A 20,180-nucleotide genomic window follows, 5' to 3' on the forward strand; every position below is an offset into this window, starting at 1 on the left:
ACTTTAAAACACTCAGCACAGATGGTGTGACATCTGTGAGTTGAAGTTATGCCCAGGGTCAGCTCCTGTTCTGGTCAGGAATGAATACCCTAGGGGTCATTAGCCAGCTCTAGATTGGAAGGTCACAATACCTGAGTTATTAGATACTTTACTAATTAGCATAGCAAATATCAGACATTATTCTCAAAACAACCCGTGGCTTGTTAACCAGCCAGATGAATGTTAGAAACGGATTCTCTTTCGTGAAATTCAAGATATGTGTGGACTGACCGAAATATTCTAGAGAGCCCTCCAGCTTGCCTGGGTGTGGTTGAAGAATCCAGCCAGGCTGGTAGCAGGTACGTGGCAGGATGGTTTTCCAGCCCTCAATGCCAGATAAAAAGCCTTATGTTAGTCTGGAGGATTTCTGGTAGCCCGAGGCCAACAATGAGGGTAAAAATAATAGAATACTATTTCTGAAACATTGTCCTTTTGAATGAATCTTTTGCCCAGAGGAGAAAGAGCTGGGACTTCATCAGTCCTACAGAGGAGACTGTGTGAAGTTGTTTGGGCTTATTTACTAATGTTTGTTTAGAAAAACTCTAGGTATGGCATCATTTGATGTTAGGTACTTTCACTAGAACTTGGTGGTGAGGTTGCAGGAGAGGGTAACCTTCGGATGTCTTAGATACCCAGCAAAAATATCTGAGAGTGGTGCATGATCAAATTGGCATATTTTAGGTGGAGTACTTGCTTCCTGTTCTTTCTTACATGTTTTCCTGCCAGTCTCTTTTGATCAGCCATTTTTTCTCTCCTCCTCACCTGTCAGCTACTCCTGCATCTGTGGGTGCAAAGCAGATTGTTAACGGACTCTCCCCATGGAGTCACTGGAAGGAGACAGGCATCTTCCTGGCTCTGTTGAAAGAGGCTGCAAAGACAGGGCACAGATAAACAGGCCCTTCAGTCAATGTTGAAAAATCAGGGGGAAGACATTTTATGATAGTCATTGGCTATGTTTCTTTTTACTCCAACTTTGCAGCTTTCAAGATAAGAAAATAACAGACCAGACCTCACATTTATAACCACTTTGTGCATCATGTTCTAGGCTCACGTATCATAAACCAGGCAATTTTAGTTGTGACCACTGGAGGTCATTAGAGATCTTATGGTATATTTTGAAGCAGCTTAACTCAGGCCTGACTTTTTGTCACTGGAAATTGCATCCTTTGTCCGGTAACTGAATTCTTTTTTCTGTGAGACAAGAATATAAAACTAACCTGTTCAGTGAAAGTACTTTTTTTTTTTGTTTGTTTGTTTGTTTTTGGATAGCAGCAGCATTTCTTCAGAGAGCAGACTGTATTTCATAGTTTCATGAATGTTAGTATAAATTTCCTTTAAACATTTTTTTTTTGAGATGGAGTCTTGCTCTGTCGCCCAGGCTGGAGTGCAGTGGCGCGATCTCAGCTCACTGCAAGCTCTGCCCCCGGGGTTCATGCCATTCTCCTGCCTCAGCCTCCTGAGTAGCTGGGACTACAGGCGCCCACCACCACGCCCAGCTACTTTTTTTGTATTTTTAGTAGAGATGGGGTTTCACCGTGTTAGCCAGGATGGTCTCGATCTCCTGATCTCATGATCTGCCTGCCTCGGCCTCCCAAAGTGCTGGGATTACAGGCATGAGCCGCCGCGCCCGGCCTAAACATCTTTATTGAGATATAATTCACATACAATAAAAATCACCCATTTACGGGTACAATTCAGTGGTTCCGGTACATTCACAGAGTTGTGTGATCATCATCACATGTTAAGTTTAGACCATTTCATCATCCCACAAAGAACCCCCCTACCCATTAACAGTAACTTCTCATCTCCATCCCTCTAGATCTGGGCAAACACAAATCTGCTTTCTGTCTCTATAAATTTGCCTATTCTGGACTTTTCGTATAAATGGAATTAGACAGTATGTGGTCTTTTGTGACTGGCTTCTTTCACATATTATAACGTTCTCAAGGTTCATCCATTTTGTTACACATGTCAGTACTTCTTTCCTTTATTGCCAAATATTATCCCATTGTATGGATGTGCCATATTTTATTTATCCACTCCTCAGTTGATTATTGTAAATAATTATTATAAATAGTGCTGCTATGAACATCTGTGTCCAAGTTTTGCATAGAGATGTTTTATTTCTCTTAGCTATACATATAGGAGTGGAATTGCTGGGTCCAATGGTAGTGCAATCAATTTTTAATTATTAAGCATTTCTTTTGGATCATTTATTCCTGTAGTCTTGCTTACCCAATAACTGTAAATAAATTAATAAATGAAAGAAATTAGTATTATTTGAATACTTGAAATGTTTATATGTAAGCTAGGCTATATTTGTGCAATACCTTTCTTTCAAGGTAGAGAGGCCATTGTTTTAGATGGTTTTATAATTTCCAAATAATTTTGTTTTAATTCAGTCAGTTATAAACAGGGTATTGCAATATTGGTGGAAACTGTCAACACAATTTTCTTTTAAAAAATTATTCATAATCTCTATGAGATATATTCAAATATCTTAGAGTTTTCTTTCCTGGCCTAATAAGTATTCCCTAGTAAGTTTTAAGATGATTTCCTAAGTGGAATTTTATGATATTTAAGACATTTTTTAAAGGTTTAGCTTCTTAAACCATCCCTCTGGCAAACTAAAATGTCCCTTCTCCTGGGAAGACTTCTCTGCTGGTCTTTCATGCCTAGCAACTTTATACCTCAATTGTGGCTTTTCTTGGTATGTTATGGCCCCGTGTCGTCCACATGACTAATGGTTTCCAGTGATGTCTTTCCCCTACCACTTGACTAGGTTGACCTTTCCTGTGACTCCTTAAAGGAAACTGGGCTGCTTGTGTCTGTTACACTCAGAGAAACCCGTGAGGAGTTTGAATCAGTCCCCTTGCCACACTGGTGGAACCGGTTTTGAATTGCCTCTGCTTAGTGCCTGGTAATTCCTCAAACAAAGGCCTTTGGTTCCAGAGCCAGAGCTGCTCAAACTTGCAGCTTTCCTGGATGGGTGGGGCAGCATTCATGCAACTGCATTCCCTAGAGGGGGAATGCATTGACCCAGGTGTGTATGTGCGTGTGCGTGTGAGATCATAAACAGCCCATGAAGGATTCACTCTCGTCACTTGTCTCCATCAGAGCAGACTTGAAATGGGGTTGGAGGGCAGAAAAATATCCACCAAGGTGTATTAAGAGAGAACAGCCCCCTCTCCCACTTCATTACCCCCTCTTCCATTCTTCCCACGCAGCCTGTGAGGGCTCACTTGAGGACGTCTGTCTCAGCTGTGATCTGTGAGGCAATCTGGTGTGCAGTTTTTCAGAGACAACATACTCCTAGGTTAATTTTAAATATAGAGCAGCCATGTCACTCTCAGTTACTGAATGTCCATTTAAAAGGAGAGTATTTCTGTGTGGAGATGGTAAAGAGGTTAAAGAAGAAAACATCGAATGAAACTTGCTGAAGACAGTAAGGCGGACGTTACTGAGAACCTTGGAGATAGCTACAGGGACTGCTGCATGGGGTCACGGGAGAGAGATTGGGCTCAACTTCAAATGCAGCATGGGCGGATAGCCAAGGAGCAGGATGGGGCTCAATGGATGGAAAATTACTCGAGGAAACATCAGGGGTAAGCGGGGATCTGAATACACTGACCCAACAGGACTCTCGCTGATGACAGGCCAGGGTGCTCAGACAACACCTGGGGGAGGGTGGAGGATGAGGAACCTGACAAGATATCCGGGGGTGGGGGGTTCTTCCTAAACTGACTTAACAGGGCTCTTTACTAAAGCAGAATTTTATAAGGAAGTGCACAGGTGGGCCAAGGGGAAGTTTCAGAAGCTTGACTAAAGTTTGGTCAAGCAGAGAATCTTTGTCAGAGAGGAGAGGGGAGTATTCAAAGTGAAAGTGTACACTTGTATCTAAAACGACTGTTTTCTAAATATCCAAGGCAAGTCTGGAAATTTGAGTCATCTTCACTTCCTTCCCCTTTGCCCAGTATTCTGCACATGTTCCTGCCCTTCTACCTGCATGGGCTGGTTAAGGATAACTGTATGAAATATTAGCATTTGCAATTGGGATGGTTTTTAGAGGTGGATGATGCTTAAAAAAAAAAAAAAAAAAAGGAAATCATTGCGTTTTAAAAGGAAGGGAGAAAGCAGAAAGCCAAAGCTCTTTTTTTTTGTGTGGATGGAGGGAAGGTTATTGGCCTATATTAGGCAACATCCACTGGCTTGAAGTTCTCACTCCCATTTTGTGAGTGTGTGGAGCTGCTCTCCCCTCCTTTCTCATGTTGAGCTTCTCTGTCTACCGCTTGACACCACCTGACACTATGTGACATGCAGGACTTGTTTATTTGCTGTCTGCCTACCCCATTAGAATGATGGCTCCATGATAGCAAAGACTTTGGTGACTCTTTTCATCTCTAGCACTTAGAGCCATACCAGGCACATAGCAGCCACTCAATAAATGCTTGTTGAATGAATTCAGATATCTAAAGCACTCCTAATTCCAAAAATGACAAAAAGATAATCAGAAAAAAATTTTCATTTGGTAGCTCTCTAGGAGGAAGGAGTTTTTCAAAATATTCCAAGTTTTAATTAAAAAAAAATTAGCCGGGCGTGGTGGCGGGCACCTCTAATCCCAGCTATTCGGGAGGCTGAGGCAGGAGAATCGCTTGAACCTGGGAGGTGGAGGTTGCAGTGAACTGAGATCGCACCATTGCACTCCAGCCTGGGCTACAGAGCAAGACTTCATGTACCAAAAAAAAAACAAAAAACAAAAAACCAAGTGTTAGAATATAGGAGATTACTAATACTTTGCATAATTCAAGTTTTCATTACTTAATTCAAGGTGGCTGGAGAAATCTTTCCCCTTGTCTTTCTTCAATTCCTGCTTACCGGGTTAGACACTGTTGATTACTGGCCCAGCCAAGCCATTCCACATTCCTCTCCTTCTTCCTGACAGAAACCCTGATTTCCACCCCCTACAAGGCATTCTATGCTTCAGGAGTGGCTGGTAAGTAACCCCCACCCTACCAAGGGTGGGTCAGGGTTGGACTAAATTCATCATGATCACTGCCTCCCCTGGATGGTGTCTGCTTTAGGAAAGGGCGTGTAGATATTAATTCTGCCCAGGGAGACATAAGGGTGGAGAGTCTTCTTCTTGCTGAAAGAAACTTAAACAAGATTTGAGGATGAACGTCTTTTCTTCCATCCTGCTAGCTGTGGTGACTGTTGTGTGAAGACCAATGCTCACTGCAGTTAGTCATTTGAGAACTATTTTGGGACAAGCCCGAGGACCAAAGTAAATGGTTGAGGATGGCAAAGTGAAAATATAAAAAATCCTTGGCCCTTGATAACATCATTGATTCCTTGAATTTGCTAAATCTGAAGCTGCCGTTAATTGTTTACAGTGAAAGGAAGAAAAATAGGTTGAAAATGGTCCATAACAGTCCATTTATCTAGTAGTCACTTCTCTGGTCATCTCAACTCTCCAAATTTTATCTGAGAAACAGGAAGGAAAAAACAAAAAGCAATTAGCAGTGAAACAGATTCCTTTTACACACAGGAGAAAGGCCTTCAGACTCTCATGCATAGTCTAAGTATTTAATTAATTTGGGTCTTCAATAAAGTGATTCAGAAATGAGTTATACATACTTCTAAGACCATGATACACACATTCAGTGCTTTGAATTTGATGTCGGCATTAGCATTAGGATCTGCTATGCTGCTTCCTTCTACCAAAGGAAAGTTCACAGTTGTTAAGGGATGGTCCCTCAGAATCACTTGGAGTTTGTGAAACAGATAATGAGCCTCACCCCTAGAGATTTTGGCTCAACGCAATGGAATGGGGTGGAGGAAGCTGTTTTTACAAAGTTCCCCAGGTGATCTGGTGTACAGCCAAGGGTCAGACACAGGCGTGGGTGACCTGAAAGCCCCAAGGCTTCTTCCATTTCTTGATTCTACTCCTCCTTGAAGGCAGGAACACAGACCACATGAGCTGTCTCGTCCCTTCTAGTCTCAGTGCAATGAAACAAAATTTGTCCCAGTTCTGTGGGTGCCTTTTTCATTTTGCACTTGTGATGCTACCTACTGGCTTTAGAATGTGTTTCACTCCAGGCAGCCCGAACTTGATGTGAATAATGAAGGAAATAGTTTGTTCTCACATCATTGAAAACTCCAGATATGGGTCTTCCTGCAGCTGAAGCTTCTTGCAGTGCTTCCGTAGTGAAACCAATGGCTTCTTTCTTCCTGCGCCTCTGTTCTGCCTCTGTAGCCATGGCTTTCTCCTTCCATTCCCTCAGATGTGTCCAGAAGAAAAAAAAAAACATTTGTTTGGGCTTTACTCTGATTAGACTCGTTTAGGCCCATGCCCACTTCTGGCCACTTGCTGTGGCCAGGGGATTGGCCTGTACCTTGATCATGTGCTTTTCAGAGCTGTGGTGTCAGCTTTAGAATTGTGTGCACCGCCAGATAGAAATTAGGGTTATTTCACCTACATAAGGGTAAGTAAATGAAGCATGACAAAAGCTAGTTTCTTCATTTAGCATTGAACAAATATTGACTGAGTGCCTACCATGGACCAAGCACAGTTCTGAGTGCATGGGACTCAACAGTGAGCAGAGCGGAAAAGGGCCTGCCCACTGCAGTTTATATTCTAGTAGAATAAAACTAAAATAGAAAAAGGGTGAACCCTGGAAGCAGCCAGACATCAAAGCTTCTAGCCCCTTGATGGGGAGGCCGAAGAGGCTCCACTGCTGGGTTTGAAGACGGAGGAAGAGGACATGAGCCAAGGAAGGCAGGCAGCTGCCAGGAGCAGGAAAAGACACAGGGACTGACTGTAGCCCAGAGAAAATGACTTCAGACTTCTGACCTCCAGAACCGTAAGAAGATCAGTCTGTGCTGCTTTAAGCCACTACATTTGTGGTAGCTTTGTTTACAAATTTGTTAGAGCAGCAACAAGAAACTAATACAAGCAGTGATTTGCTTTTTCTATTTTTCAACGTTTATTCTTTTTTCATTTATTATTTTAGTTTATACACATTTATTTAGCCCCAGCCATGCTGCAAGCACTCTGCCAGTTGCCAGGGACAGAGCAGTGAACAAAACAGTAATAGAGACAGACATTACATGGGGAAGGAGGCCGGGCGCAGTGGCTCACGCGCCTGTAAGCTTAGCATTTTGGGAGGCTGAGGTCGGCGGATCACTTGAGCTTAGGAGTTCAAGACCAGCCTGGGCAACATGGTGAAACCCTGTGTCTACTAAAAAATACAAAAATTAGCTGGGTGCTGTGGCGTGTGCCTGTGGTCCCAGCTACTTAGGAGGCTGACGCAGGGGAATTGCTTGAGCCTGGGAGGTGGAGGTTGCAGTGAACCGAGATTATACCATTACAGTCCAGCCTGGGCAACAGAGCCAGAGACCCTGTCATAAATAAATAAATAAACAAACAAACAAATAAAAATGGTGGAGTCTGAAAAAGGACTGGGTCAGCAAGAATAAAAACACAAAACAGCTGGAGGAGCCAAGATGGCCGAATAGGAACAGCTCCGGTCTACAGCTCCCAGCGTGAGCGACGCAGAAGACGGGTGATTTCTGCATTTCCATCTGAGATTGGAGCCATGGCTTTGGAACAGAACCAGTCAACAGATTATTATTATGAGGAAAATGAAATGAATGGCACTTATGACTACAGTCAATATGAATTGATCTGTATCAAAGAAGATGTCAGAGAATTTGCAAAAGTTTTCCTCCCTGTATTCCTCACAATAGCTTTCGTCATTGGACTTGCAGGCAATTCCATGGTAGTGGCAATTTATGCCTATTACAAGAAACAGAGAACCAAAACAGATGTGTACATCCTGAATTTGGCTGTAGCAGATTTACTCCTTCTATTCACTCTGCCTTTTTGGGCTGTTAATGCAGTTCATGGGTGGGTTTTAGGGAAAATAATGTGCAAAATAACTTCAGCCTTGTACACACTAAACTTTGTCTCTGGAATGCAGTTTCTGGCTTGCATCAGCATAGACAGATATGTGGCAGTAACTAATGTCCCCAGCCAATCAGGAGTGGGAAAACCATGCTGGATCATCTGTTTCTGTGTCTGGATGGCTGCCATCTTGCTGAGCATACCCCAGCTGGTTTTTTATACAGTAAATGACAATGCTAGGTGCATTCCCATTTTCCCCCGCTACCTAGGAACATCAATGAAAGCATTGATTCAAATGCTAGAGATCTGCATTGGATTTGTAGTACCCTTTCTTATTATGGGGGTGTGCTACTTTATCACGGCAAGGACACTCATGAAGATGCCAAACATTAAAATATCTCGACCCCTAAAAGTTCTGCTCACAGTCGTTATAGTTTTCATTGTCACTCAACTGCCTTATAACATTGTCAAGTTCTGCCGAGCCATAGACATCATCTACTCCCTGATCACCAGCTGCAACATGAGCAAACGCATGGACATCGCCATCCAAGTCACAGAAAGCATTGCACTCTTTCACAGCTGCCTCAACCCAATCCTTTATGTTTTTATGGGAGCATCTTTCAAAAACTACGTTATGAAAGTGGCCAAGAAATATGGGTCCTGGAGAAGACAGAGACAAAGTGTGGAGGAGTTTCCTTTTGATTCTGAGGGTCCTACAGAGCCAACCAGTACTTTTAGCATTTAAAGGTAAAACTGCTCTGCCTTTTGCTTGGATACATATGAATGATGCTTTCCCCTCAAATAAAACATCTGCATTATTCTGAAACTCAAATCTCAGACGCCGTGGTTGCAACTTATAATAAAGAATGGGTTGGGGGAAGGGGGAGAAATAAAAGCCAAGAAGAGGAAACAAGATAATAAATGTACAAAACATGAAAATTAAAATGAACAATATAGGAAAATAATTGTAACAGGCATAAGTGAATAACACTCTGCTGTAACGAAGAAGAGCTTTGTGGTGATAATTTTGTATCTTGGTTGCAGTGGTGCTTATACAAATCTACTCAAGTGATAAAATGACACAGAACTGTATACACACATTGTACCAATTTCAATTTCCTGGTTTTGACATTATAGTATAATTATGTAAGATGGAACCATTGGGGAAAACTGGGTGAAGGGTACCCAGGACCACTCTGTACCATCTTTGTAACTTCCTGTGAATTTATAATAATTTCAAAATAAAAGAAGTTAAAAAAAAACCCACTATGCTATAAGTTAGGCCATCTAAAACAGATTATTAAAGAGGTTCATGTTAAAAGGCATTTATAATTATTTTTAATTATCTAAGTTTTAATACAAGAACGATTTCCCTGCATAATTTTAGTACTTGAATAAGTATGCAGCAGAACTCCAACTATCTTTTTTCCTGTTTTTTTTAAATTTGTAAGTAATTTTATAAAATCCACCTCCTCCAAAAAAGCAATAAAAAAAAAAAAACTATAAAAAAAAACAAAAAACAAAAACAAAAAAAACACAAAACAGTGCTTAGATTACACTGTAATGCACATCAAGTGTAAAGGACACAGGTTTCAGCAAAGGTTATGAGACGGCATTAAGCAGGAGTGCTCAGTGTCAGTCAGCCTCCCATAGGGACGTGTTTGGGCAGCAGGAATGGTTGTTGAGGAGATGGGGAGATTCTCGCCGTACCCCAGACATGTCACTCTAAAACTCCACTATCATCACCTGATCTGGTTGCCTGTGTTGTTGCCAAAATAGCTTTCACCAGCCACAGGACTCTAACCCACGATACTCGTTCCAGCTACTTCTGGCTCCACCCCCCGGAACCACATCAACTCATTGGCCCTAAGTTATTATGAACACACAGGAAGTCAAACTGCAATTAGGCAGCAACAGTATGTGTGTGTGCATGCATTATGCGTCATTTCCCATGATCCAAGGCCGGCCTGGCCAGCCTGACATAACAAAGAAGTAGCTATGACTGTGAGAAGTGACAAAGGAAAAGTAATGGGACCTCACCTAGGCCAGACGGTCAGGGAAAGCTGCCCTCAGGATGGGATATTTACGCTGGAGTCTGAAGGATGAGTAGGAGTCAGACAAGCAAAGACTCAGAGAATGACTGTTCTATCTGGATGGGACAGCATGTGTGAGAGCCTTGGTTCTTCTTTGCCTGCTCAATACCAATACCAGGCTTTTGTAGAAGCATTAGAAAATACATATAATGCCGAGCGCGGTGGCTCATGCCTGTAATCCCAGCGCTTTGGGAGGCTGAGGCGGGTGGATCACTTGAGGTCAGGAGTTCGAGACCAGCCTGGCCAACATGGTGAAACCCTGCTTCTACTAAAAATACAAAAATACTAGCCAGGTGTGGTGGGGGGGCACCTGTAATCCCAGCTGCTGGAGAGGCTGAGGCAGGAGATTCACTTGAACACAGGAGGCAGAGGTCACAGTGAGCTGAGATCGTGCAATTGCACTCCAGCCTGGGCGACAGAGCAGGACTCCGTCTAAAAAAAGAAAAGAAAAGAAAAGAAAAGAATACAGATAAGCAAAAAGAGGGAAATACCAATCACCAATAATCCACCACCCATATACAGCCTTTTTACACTTCTGTGCATTCGTATGACTATATATGGATCCGATTAGACCAATTAGCCAGAATTTTTTTTCTTAAAGAAACTTCAGTCACTCTCCTTATTGCTTTACCCATATCTAGTTTTGCTCTCTAGTCCTCTGAAGACTTTAGCACATGCTTCTTCATTTCCTTTATATCCCAAGCCCAGTCATTAGTCTGTGTGACACTGGCATTCATGAGGAAAACCCACTTCACACTCTGAACACCCAGTTGAACTTATCGCCCAAAATGAATTTTTTCTCCCCCTGCCTTAGTCAACGACTCCCACAATAAATGCATTACAGTCAATCCAGAGTCACTGATGGAAGCATTCCCTCTTCGCCCAGTTCGCCTGTTCAGCTATCCCCGTCTTGATCGCTGTTCCACTCACTGACCTTCCAGTCCACAGGCTCCTCTGCTCTCTATCAATCAGCCCTTTCCTTGGTACTTAACTTGCCTGATCACCCCACTTAGAGGCCATGGCCTGCCATGTTAGTAATTCATATTCCAATTCTCTCAGCTCTCTTGCTCTGGATTTTTATCACATTCAAATTCCAAAATCCTAGTCTGAATACTTGAACTTTTAAATTTCCCCCCAACATACATACCAGCCACTAAGAATTACTGGAGAAAGCCAACAGCAAGGTAGATTGTTTACTAGAAATTATTTTTTCTTTATTTTGGGAAAATTCAAGTTTAATTAAAACTATAATGATATAGACCAAGCACGATGGCTCATACCTGAAATTCCAGCGCTTTGGGAGGCCGAGGCGGGAGGTCAAGAGTTGAGACCAGCCTGGCCAACATGGTGAAACCTTGACTCTACTAAAAATACAAAACTCAGCTGGGTGTTGTGGCAGTTGTCTGTAATTTGGGAGGCTGAGGCAGGAGAACCTCTTGAACCCAGGAGGCAGAGATTGCAGTGAGCCGAGATTGCATTATAGCACTCCAGCCTAGGCAACAGACACTCCATCTCAAAAAAAAGAAAACCAAACTACACTGATTGAGTTTGGATATTAGTTCCCACCCAAATCTCATGTTGACTTGTAATCCCCAATACTGAAGGTGAGATCTGGCGGGAGGTGTTTGGGTCACGGGGGGCAGATCCCTCATGGTTTGGTGCTGTCTTCGTGATAGTGAGTTCCTGAGAGATCTGGTCATTTAAAAGTGTGTGGCACCTCCACCCATCCCCCACTGTCTCACTCTCTTGCTCCTGCTTTCTTCATGTGATGTGCCTGCTTCCCCTTCACCTTCCACCATGATTGGAAGTTCCCTGAGGCCTCCTGAGAAAACCAAGCAGATGCCAGCACCATGCTTCCTATAAAGCCTGCAGAACCATAAGCCAATTAAACCTCTCCTCTTTATAAACTACCAAGTCTCAGCCAGGTGCGGTGGTTCATACCTGTAATCCCAGCACTTTGGGAGGCCAACGTGGGCGGATCATGAGGTCAGGAGTTCAAGACCAGCCTGGCCAACATGGTGAAACCCTGTCTCTACTAAAGATACAAAAAATTAGCCAGGTGTGGTGGCGCATGCCTGTAATCCCAGCTACTCTGGAGGCTGACGCAGGAGAATCTCTTGAATCTGGGAGGTGGAGGTTGTAGTGAGCTGAGATCGTGCCATTGCACTCCAACCTGGGCAACAGGGTGAGACTCTGTCTCAAACAAAACAAAACAAAAAACAGAAAAAAAAAACTACCCAGTCTCAGGTATTTCTTTATAGCAACACAAGAAGGGCCTAACACATATACAAACAATATAAGGGACCCCGGTATATTCAGCACCCATTTTTAACAATGATCAGCTCATGGTTCACATTATTTCATCTATTTTCCCAAAGTTGTAACCACCCTTTATACCCTGGGTTATTATTTGTTTTGTTGTTTTTTGAGATGGAGTCTCACTCTGTTCCCCGGGCTGGAGTGCAGCCGCACAATCTTGGCTCACTGCAACCTCCACCTCCCAGGTTCAAGCAGTCCTCCTGCCTCTGAGCCTCCCAAGTAGCTGGGATTACAGGTGCATGCCACCACACCCAGCTAATTTTTATATTTTTAGTAGAGACGGGGTTTCACCATGTTGGCCAGACTGGTTTCAAACTCCTGACCTCAGTGATCCACCAGCCTCGGATTCCCAAAGTGCTAGGATTACAGGCATAAGACACCACGCCCAGCCCCCTGGATTATTTTAAAGCAAACTCTAGATATCATGTCATTTCTTACTTTAATATTCCAGGACATAACTTTTTTATAAAGGACTATTTTTTTTTTATACTTTAAGTTCTAGGGTACATGTGCACAACGTGCAGGTTACATATGTATACATGCGCCATGTTGGTGTGCTGCACCCATTAACTCGTCATTTACATTAGGTATATCTCCTAATGCTATCCCTCCCCCCACCGCATGACAGGCCCTGGTGTGTGATGTTCCCCTTCCTGTGTTATAAAGGACTATTTTTAAAAATATAATCACAACTGCATTATCAGCCTGAAAAAATTAATAATCTCTTATTATCAAATGTTTAGTCAGTAATCAATTTTCCTCAATGACCTCATAACTTCTTACTTTTAAAATAATTTATTTATCTCAGGACCCAATAAGGTTCATACATTGCAATTGATTAATATGACTTCTAGATTTCTTTCAATGTATAGGTTTTCTCCCCTCACCCTTTTTCTTTTCTCCCTTGTCTTGTAGGGTTTCCCACAGTCTGCATTTTGCTGATTGTAACCTTCTGCCTCCCCTTTTCCTGAAAACTGGTAGTTTGGGGCCTGATGAAAGTCAGGTTTGATTTTTTTCATAAGAATACTTCAAAGGTGGTGTTTTATTCTTCCTTCAGAAGCTGGCGAGTTCCAGTGGTTTTTGTGTGTGCTGTTAGCTGCCATTGACAATCTTCCCGTGGGTCCACTGTTTCATTAGGGGTTGCAAAATGTTGACATACTACCTCGTCATTCCTTTTCTGTTTACTAGTTAGCATACTTCTATAAAGAGAAACTTTCCCTCCTTAATGACTTGCTTTCCCGAGGTAGAGTTCATACAGGAAAGACACATGTTGATTTTATTTACCAATTTTCTAACCAATAGCTTGGATTTATGTCATCCTCCAAAATTGATCACTGAGTTCTTTGTAGTATTATAAACTCATGAACTTAAGTATCTTATGTTTCAATCCATTTCAGTTATTTTCTTGTTGGTATTCAAATTGTGTTGTTCCTGGCCAGGGGAGCCTCCTCAAGATAACTCTTGAGTTCTTTTGACATGTTAATTTCTCTTCTTTTTTTATTTTGAGACAGGGTCTCACTCTGTCACTCAGGCTAAGGCGCTGGCTAAGTTTAAAATTTTTTTTTTTTTTTGTAGAGATGGGAGTCTCACTATGTTGCCCAGCGTGGTCTCGAACTCCTGGCCTCAAATTATCCTCCCACCTTGGCCTACCAAAGTACTGGGATTACAGGGCGTGAGCCACCACACCTGTTAGTTTCTAATAATTTCTTTTCTTTCTGGTGTGAGAAAACCTTCTGCGCTCGTCTTGTCCTTTTCCTGCCTCAGACTTGGGATACCATTTCCCCAAGGAGCCCTGTTTCCTTTCGGTGGGAAATATTTGGTATTAGGTATTGCCGTAATAGAGCACTCTTATAAGTATCTTATAAGGTTGTTCATAGTTTCTAGGAATTTTTAGTACACAGAACTAAAAATAACTTTAAAGAAAAGTTACAATGCATCAAGAGTTCGGATCCATACTCTCAATTCAAATTCAAGTCAACAGGATTTGTATTGAACCCTTCTGTATTGCATCCATATCTCTTTCACACAGGAAATTCACATAGGATTTCACACAGGAAATCTTGGTTCCCAATGACGTTATTACTCATTTTCTTTGTTCCATAATAATACATGCACAACATTCCCAAAACAACAAAACCATCACTACCACTCCCTATATCATTACTGAAATCAGTTAAAAATAATTTTTGCAGTTCTTGTTGTCCTTAAGGTATGCCACATTTAGGGACATAGAGTCAAATTTCTGTGTTTTTGGTTTTTTTTTCCTTTTTTTTTGAGACAGAGTCTCACTCTGTTTCCCAGGCTGGAGTGCAGTGGCACGATCTCAGTTCACTGCAACCTCCGCCTCCCGGGTTCCAGCGACTCTCCCACCTCAGCCTCCAGAGTAGCTAGGATTACAGGCGCTCGCCACCATGCCCGGCTAATTTTTTGTATTTTTAGTAGAGATGGGGTTTCACCATGTTAGCCAGGCTGGTCTCAAACTCCTGTCCTGAAGCGATCTGCCAACCTCGGCCTCCCAAAGTGCTGGGATTACAGGCGTGAGCCACCGCGCCCAGCCTAAATTTCTGTGTTTTAGAATGGAATAATCCCAATCTGTATGGCTATTCAACTAATTCAACACACAATTAAGTTTGTTTTGTTTTGCTTTTGAATTTTAGGGATTGCTTTTATCAAATCCAATTTTGTTTGATAATATTAAAAGACATATGGTTACAGAAGTCACATCTAGAAAACAAGGTATATTAAGAAAAATCTAGCTTCTACCACTGTGTTCTGTGCTCTGTTCCCTCCCTCCAAATCTCTGCACAACAGGGGTGGACAAGCTTTTTCTAAACGGCCAGATAGCAACAATCTTAGGCCTTGTGGGCCCTGTGATCCCTGCTTCAACGACTTAGCTTTACCGATGCAGTATGAAGGCCACCACAGGCAATATGTGAGTCAATGGGTGTGGCTGTGTTCCAGTAACATTTTGCAAAAAGGGATGTCAAAAACGAATGGATATAGTCCACAGGCCATACCCCTGCTCTAGAGTCATCTGCAGGGACTGTCCCCAGATCCCCAGTTTCAACTCACTACTCACCCCATCCTAAACTGGTTTTTGCCCTTTTAAGTCCGTATAGCTGCCTCCAAAGGACTCTTGGATTTTTTTCGGTTATCTTGCTTGTCCTCTCTGCAGTTTTCGGTATGAACAAGTACTCACTCCTCGAAATGACAATCTTCCTGTGGATGCCATGACAGAAGATTAATCTGGCTTCCTCCTACCTCTCGGTCCTGTCCTTTCCATGTTGTTTAATGACAAATCCTCTACATGTCGTTAAATGTGGGCATTCCTCCAGCCTGTGGGAACTCTGCTTCTCTTTTCACTCTGTGCTCTCTGTGTAGAGCACTTGATCCATACCCAGGCTTTTATTTAATATTTCTCTAACAGTGATCAGGCCATTTTTATCTTTGGCCCAGACATTGCCTTTGAGTTCCTAATTATATATCCAGCTGCTTACTTGATATTTAATTTTGAATGTCTTGAGAACACCCCAAAACCAACATGTCCAAGTATATACAATCGTCGTAAGCACAATGTGACTATATTCTCTATTTTAATGGTACCACCAGCCATCCAGTTTCAAAAGTTAGAAACCCAAGACTCATCTAATCACCACTTATCAATTTACCCCCAATATCTCTCATGTGTTCAATTTTCTACATCTCTATCAATACCAGCTTAGGCCAACCTACCATTATTTCTGGCCTGGGCTATGGCTATGGCCATGGCCTTCTAATTGGTCTCCCCATCATTCTGGACTCTCTCCCTGTGCAGTCAGTGTTGGCTTCTCAAATGGCACTGAGACCATGTCATCATGCCCCTGTTTAAAAGTTTTAGTTTAAAAAATTGTAACCTTTAACATGGCATCCAAGGCCCTGCAGGGATATGGCTCTAACCACCCCTTCAGCTTCCCCTCTTCCCTCTTTCTCCATAGTTCCTGGTGCTTCAGCCCAACTCACCTTCATCCAGCTCCTCAGGGATGCTGCCTTTGCCCTTGACATTGCCATCTACCTAGGAGGCTCTTCTACCTCCACTGCCTTCTTCTCCCAGTTGCCTTTAACCCACTTAGCTCCCGCAGGGAAGCCTTTCCACACATGTACTTTTTCTTCAGAAGATTAACTACAGTTGTAATTTCACCTTTATTTATTAGATTTTTTTAAAAATTGGTGCTGTCCCTAACCATACTGTAGGCTCCATAAAGGCAGGAATTGTGTCATTTTTCTTTGTCTCATTAAAACCGCAGAATGTAAGAAGGGATTCAAAATAATGTTGATTTAATAAGTGAATCCGTGAACTGTACAATCACAGTAAACATGCACATACCAATTTAATTAAACAATTTTAGATCATGTATTCCTTTGAGAAGAGATATTCAAATTACACCAAAAACTATAAATCTTCCCCCCAGGAAAGACATATATATGCATAGATATAAAATTTACCAGATATTTCAGGAACTTTGTATGCTGCATGAAACTCTCCTATGGATAATAGTGCATGAAACTAAGTGAAATGTCTTCAATTTTTTTTATCATTTTAAATGACTTTATAATATTCAATGGTCCAGATTTTGCTTAAGATTCTCTAGTTTTCCCTCCTTTGGTTTCAAGTTTATTATCCAACTTACTCAGTTTTCTCTTAATTTCAAAAACTATATATTTTTTACTTCAAATGTCTGTTTTTTTTTTTTCCAAATGAACATTTCAAACATTCACTCCTATTATTACCTTGATTTCTCTTTGAATATTTTCAGCATGTTTATGTTAAAATCTCTTGGATTCTTTCATTACCTTCAGTTCTGGAGATGACGGATCCCTTGTTTGTTTCATTTGCTGGCCTTCCCTCATGGTGTTTTAGTCTGAGGTTATTTTCCAAAGGGAGGATAACTGCCCTGGGTTGTGGAGGCACATGGGATGGTTCACATATGTATCTTCCTCTCCAGGAACCCCTTGGGTTTCTTATTTTCTCACCAGCGTTTATGTTTCTATGGTAGCTCAGGGTCTCTAATGTGCCAGGAGATTTAATATGGACTTAAGCCCATGCAAGGTACAGGCCTGTTCTGATTTCCCCCAGGTCTCCCTTTCCTTTAGCAGCCCAGGAGAAGGTGTGCTTCCTTGCTTCTTCCCTGCAAGGTCTGGACTCCTGTCAGTAGGAAAGCCTAGCACTACTCATCAAGACTGGGCCCAATTCTTCTGTGAATTTCTCAATTTCAGCTCCCATTTAGTGTCCTTGTGTTTTTTTGTTGTTTTTTTTTTAATTTATAACTTGCTGATTTCTTTTTTCATTACTCTTCCATTTGAAGAGATTATGCTTCATAATCCCAGTGCTTTTAGCTGTTTGAAATTAGTTCATAGCATATTAGTCCATTTCACACTGCTATAAAGAACTGCCTGAGACTGGGTAATTTATAAATATAAAAGCATTAATTGGCTCAGAGTTCTGCATGGGTTGGGGGGCCTCAGGAAACTTACAATCACGGTGGAAGGGGAAGCAGGCACATCTTACCTGGCGGCAGGCGAGAGAGAGAGAGAAAAGGAGGAACTGTCAAACGCCAATAAAACATTGGATCTCATGAGAACTCACTATCACAAGAACAGCGTGGGGGAAACCACCTCCATGATCCACTCACCCACCACCAGGTCCCTCCCTTGACATGTGGGGATTATGGAGATTAAAATTGGAGATGAGATATGGGTGGGGACATAAAGCCAAACCATATCACATAGATTCCCCTTTCAGCTCAGTCTACTGATTTCTAGGAAGATTAGATTTTATAGATATGCCATAACTTATCTCAGACATTTAACTTGTTTCCCCCAGCTTTTGCTACTAAAAACAACACTTAGAGGAACATCCTTTAGCTAAATCCTTAGACATATCTTTAATCATTGTTTTAGGAAAAACCCCTAGAAGACGAATTGTTGGATCCAAAAGCACATTTGTACGGCCATCGGTATTTGTCACTTACCAACTTGTCTTCCTTTTCATGCAACTCAGGAGTTGCACAGATGCCTATGGTTCCCCTTGCCCTTGTGTCATCTCCTTTTGGCCCCATTAAAACATGCACCAGAGGATCACCTGAGGTCAGGAGTTTGAGACCAGCCTGGCCAACGTGACGAAACCCTGTCTTCACTAAAATACAAAAATTAGCCGGGCTTGGTGGCATGCACCTGTAATCCCAGCTGCTCAGGAGGCTGAGACAGGAGAATCGCTTGAATCCAGAAGGTGGAGGTTGCAGTGAGCAGAGATCACGCCACAGTACTCCAGCCTGGGTGACAGAGCAAGACTCCAGCTCAAAAATAAATAAATAAATAATTAAAAAAAAATGCACCAGGGACTGAAACTGGGGTATGAACAGCACCCAGACCCTGACCAAGCCATAAAAGTGTTTGTAAAGAAGCCACCCGACAAGGCTTAGAGGTGCTACCTAGGCAACCAGAAAACAGGGACCTCTGCCAAATCCACTCTCCCCTCCACAGGCCTCTCTCCAAGCTGTTCTCCTAGTCATTTTCATCACAATTTTGGCAGCTTCTACTTCTTATCAGAAATTTAAGAGCAGATAATTAAATTCAAGTCCCACATTACTAAGCTTTGTTATTTTTGCAAAGTACACATTGTACATTCAGTGGCACACTGCAAAGCATTATCATGAATTATTTAAATGACACCATCCTCGTCACAATAAATGAGCAAAACACATTTTTTCACTGTCTCCTTACATGTTGTTATTTCTCTTCACAGATTTCTTACTTTGCAACATTAACTAAAATGTGATGAGCCCTGCAATGTCATTACTACAAACTACCCTACCTTAGTTCTGCTGATCATGTATTTTTTTTTAATGTGACGGAAGCATTTTTCTTTCTTCTTAAGATTCATTATACTCAAACGTGTCCTTGTAGCAGCATAGAATAGGAACAAATATAAAACATGTATAACCAAGGTTTACTTTTGGAAGTAATTCATATTCAATTCTCCTTTGCTCTGCTGGGATGGAACAATAGATGCTGTGAGGTGGGAAGGTAGTAGACATGAAAATCTAAAGATACTGAGACCCTTCTTTGGAAAGGAGGCCGGAAACATCTCTGTTTTGCCTCTTATTTTATTACTGTATTTTATAATTCCAAGTAAATGAGAGTAAAACTTATCTCAAAGGCTAGCAAAATGATCCTGAAGTCTAACTCAGGCAATGAGGACAGTAATTCATTAGAAATTAACTGTTCTTGGCATTGTCACAGTCTTGTTCAGCTTGAATGTTAATCTCTAAGGAAATGACAGTTATTACCTGTGCTTTATTGTTGATACTGACAAGATCCTCAAGTGACACTTCTGTCTGTGGATACTACATGCTACCAGTACAGGCCCGGCTCCATTCTTTGCCCCCGTTTACACACACACACACACACACACACACACACACACACACACACTCTCATTCTCTCTCTCTGTCTCTTTCCTCACAACGGCCTGCCAACAGGTTCATTTTACGCCACTCTGTTTTGTCTCAGGATGTGACAAGGCTACATGGACAGGGATCAAAAAAACAGCAGTGACTTAAGGCCAGGGGAGGAAGAACACAGAAAATAAATCGTTAAAACTTGGAACTGAAGCAAACTTAAAAAAAAAATTTTAGCCACTTAAAAAAAACTTTTCATTTTGCAATAATTTTTAACTTACAGAAAAGTTGCAAGAATAGTACAAATAATGTCTTTATCCCTTTCACCTGGACTTCCTCATTTAGTTAACATTTTAATAGTTATGGCCAGGCGCAGTGGCTCAAGCCTGT

The 20,180-nt window shown here is 41.9% G+C and overlaps 1 protein-coding gene and 1 pseudogene across 8 annotated transcripts in view; both read left to right on the plus strand.

The window, feature by feature from the left end:
• The window catches only part of ECT2L (epithelial cell transforming 2 like), a 107,984-nt gene that overhangs the window by 19,026 nt on the left and 68,778 nt on the right, over positions 1–20,180 (plus strand). The gene's annotated exons all lie outside the window — the stretch shown is intronic.
• Positions 7,595–9,451, plus strand: ACKR4P1 (ACKR4 pseudogene 1; annotated as a pseudogene).

Source organism: Homo sapiens, chromosome 6, assembly GCF_000001405.40.
Source record: "Homo sapiens chromosome 6, GRCh38.p14 Primary Assembly".
NCBI classification, from domain to species: domain Eukaryota; kingdom Metazoa; phylum Chordata; class Mammalia; order Primates; family Hominidae; genus Homo; species Homo sapiens.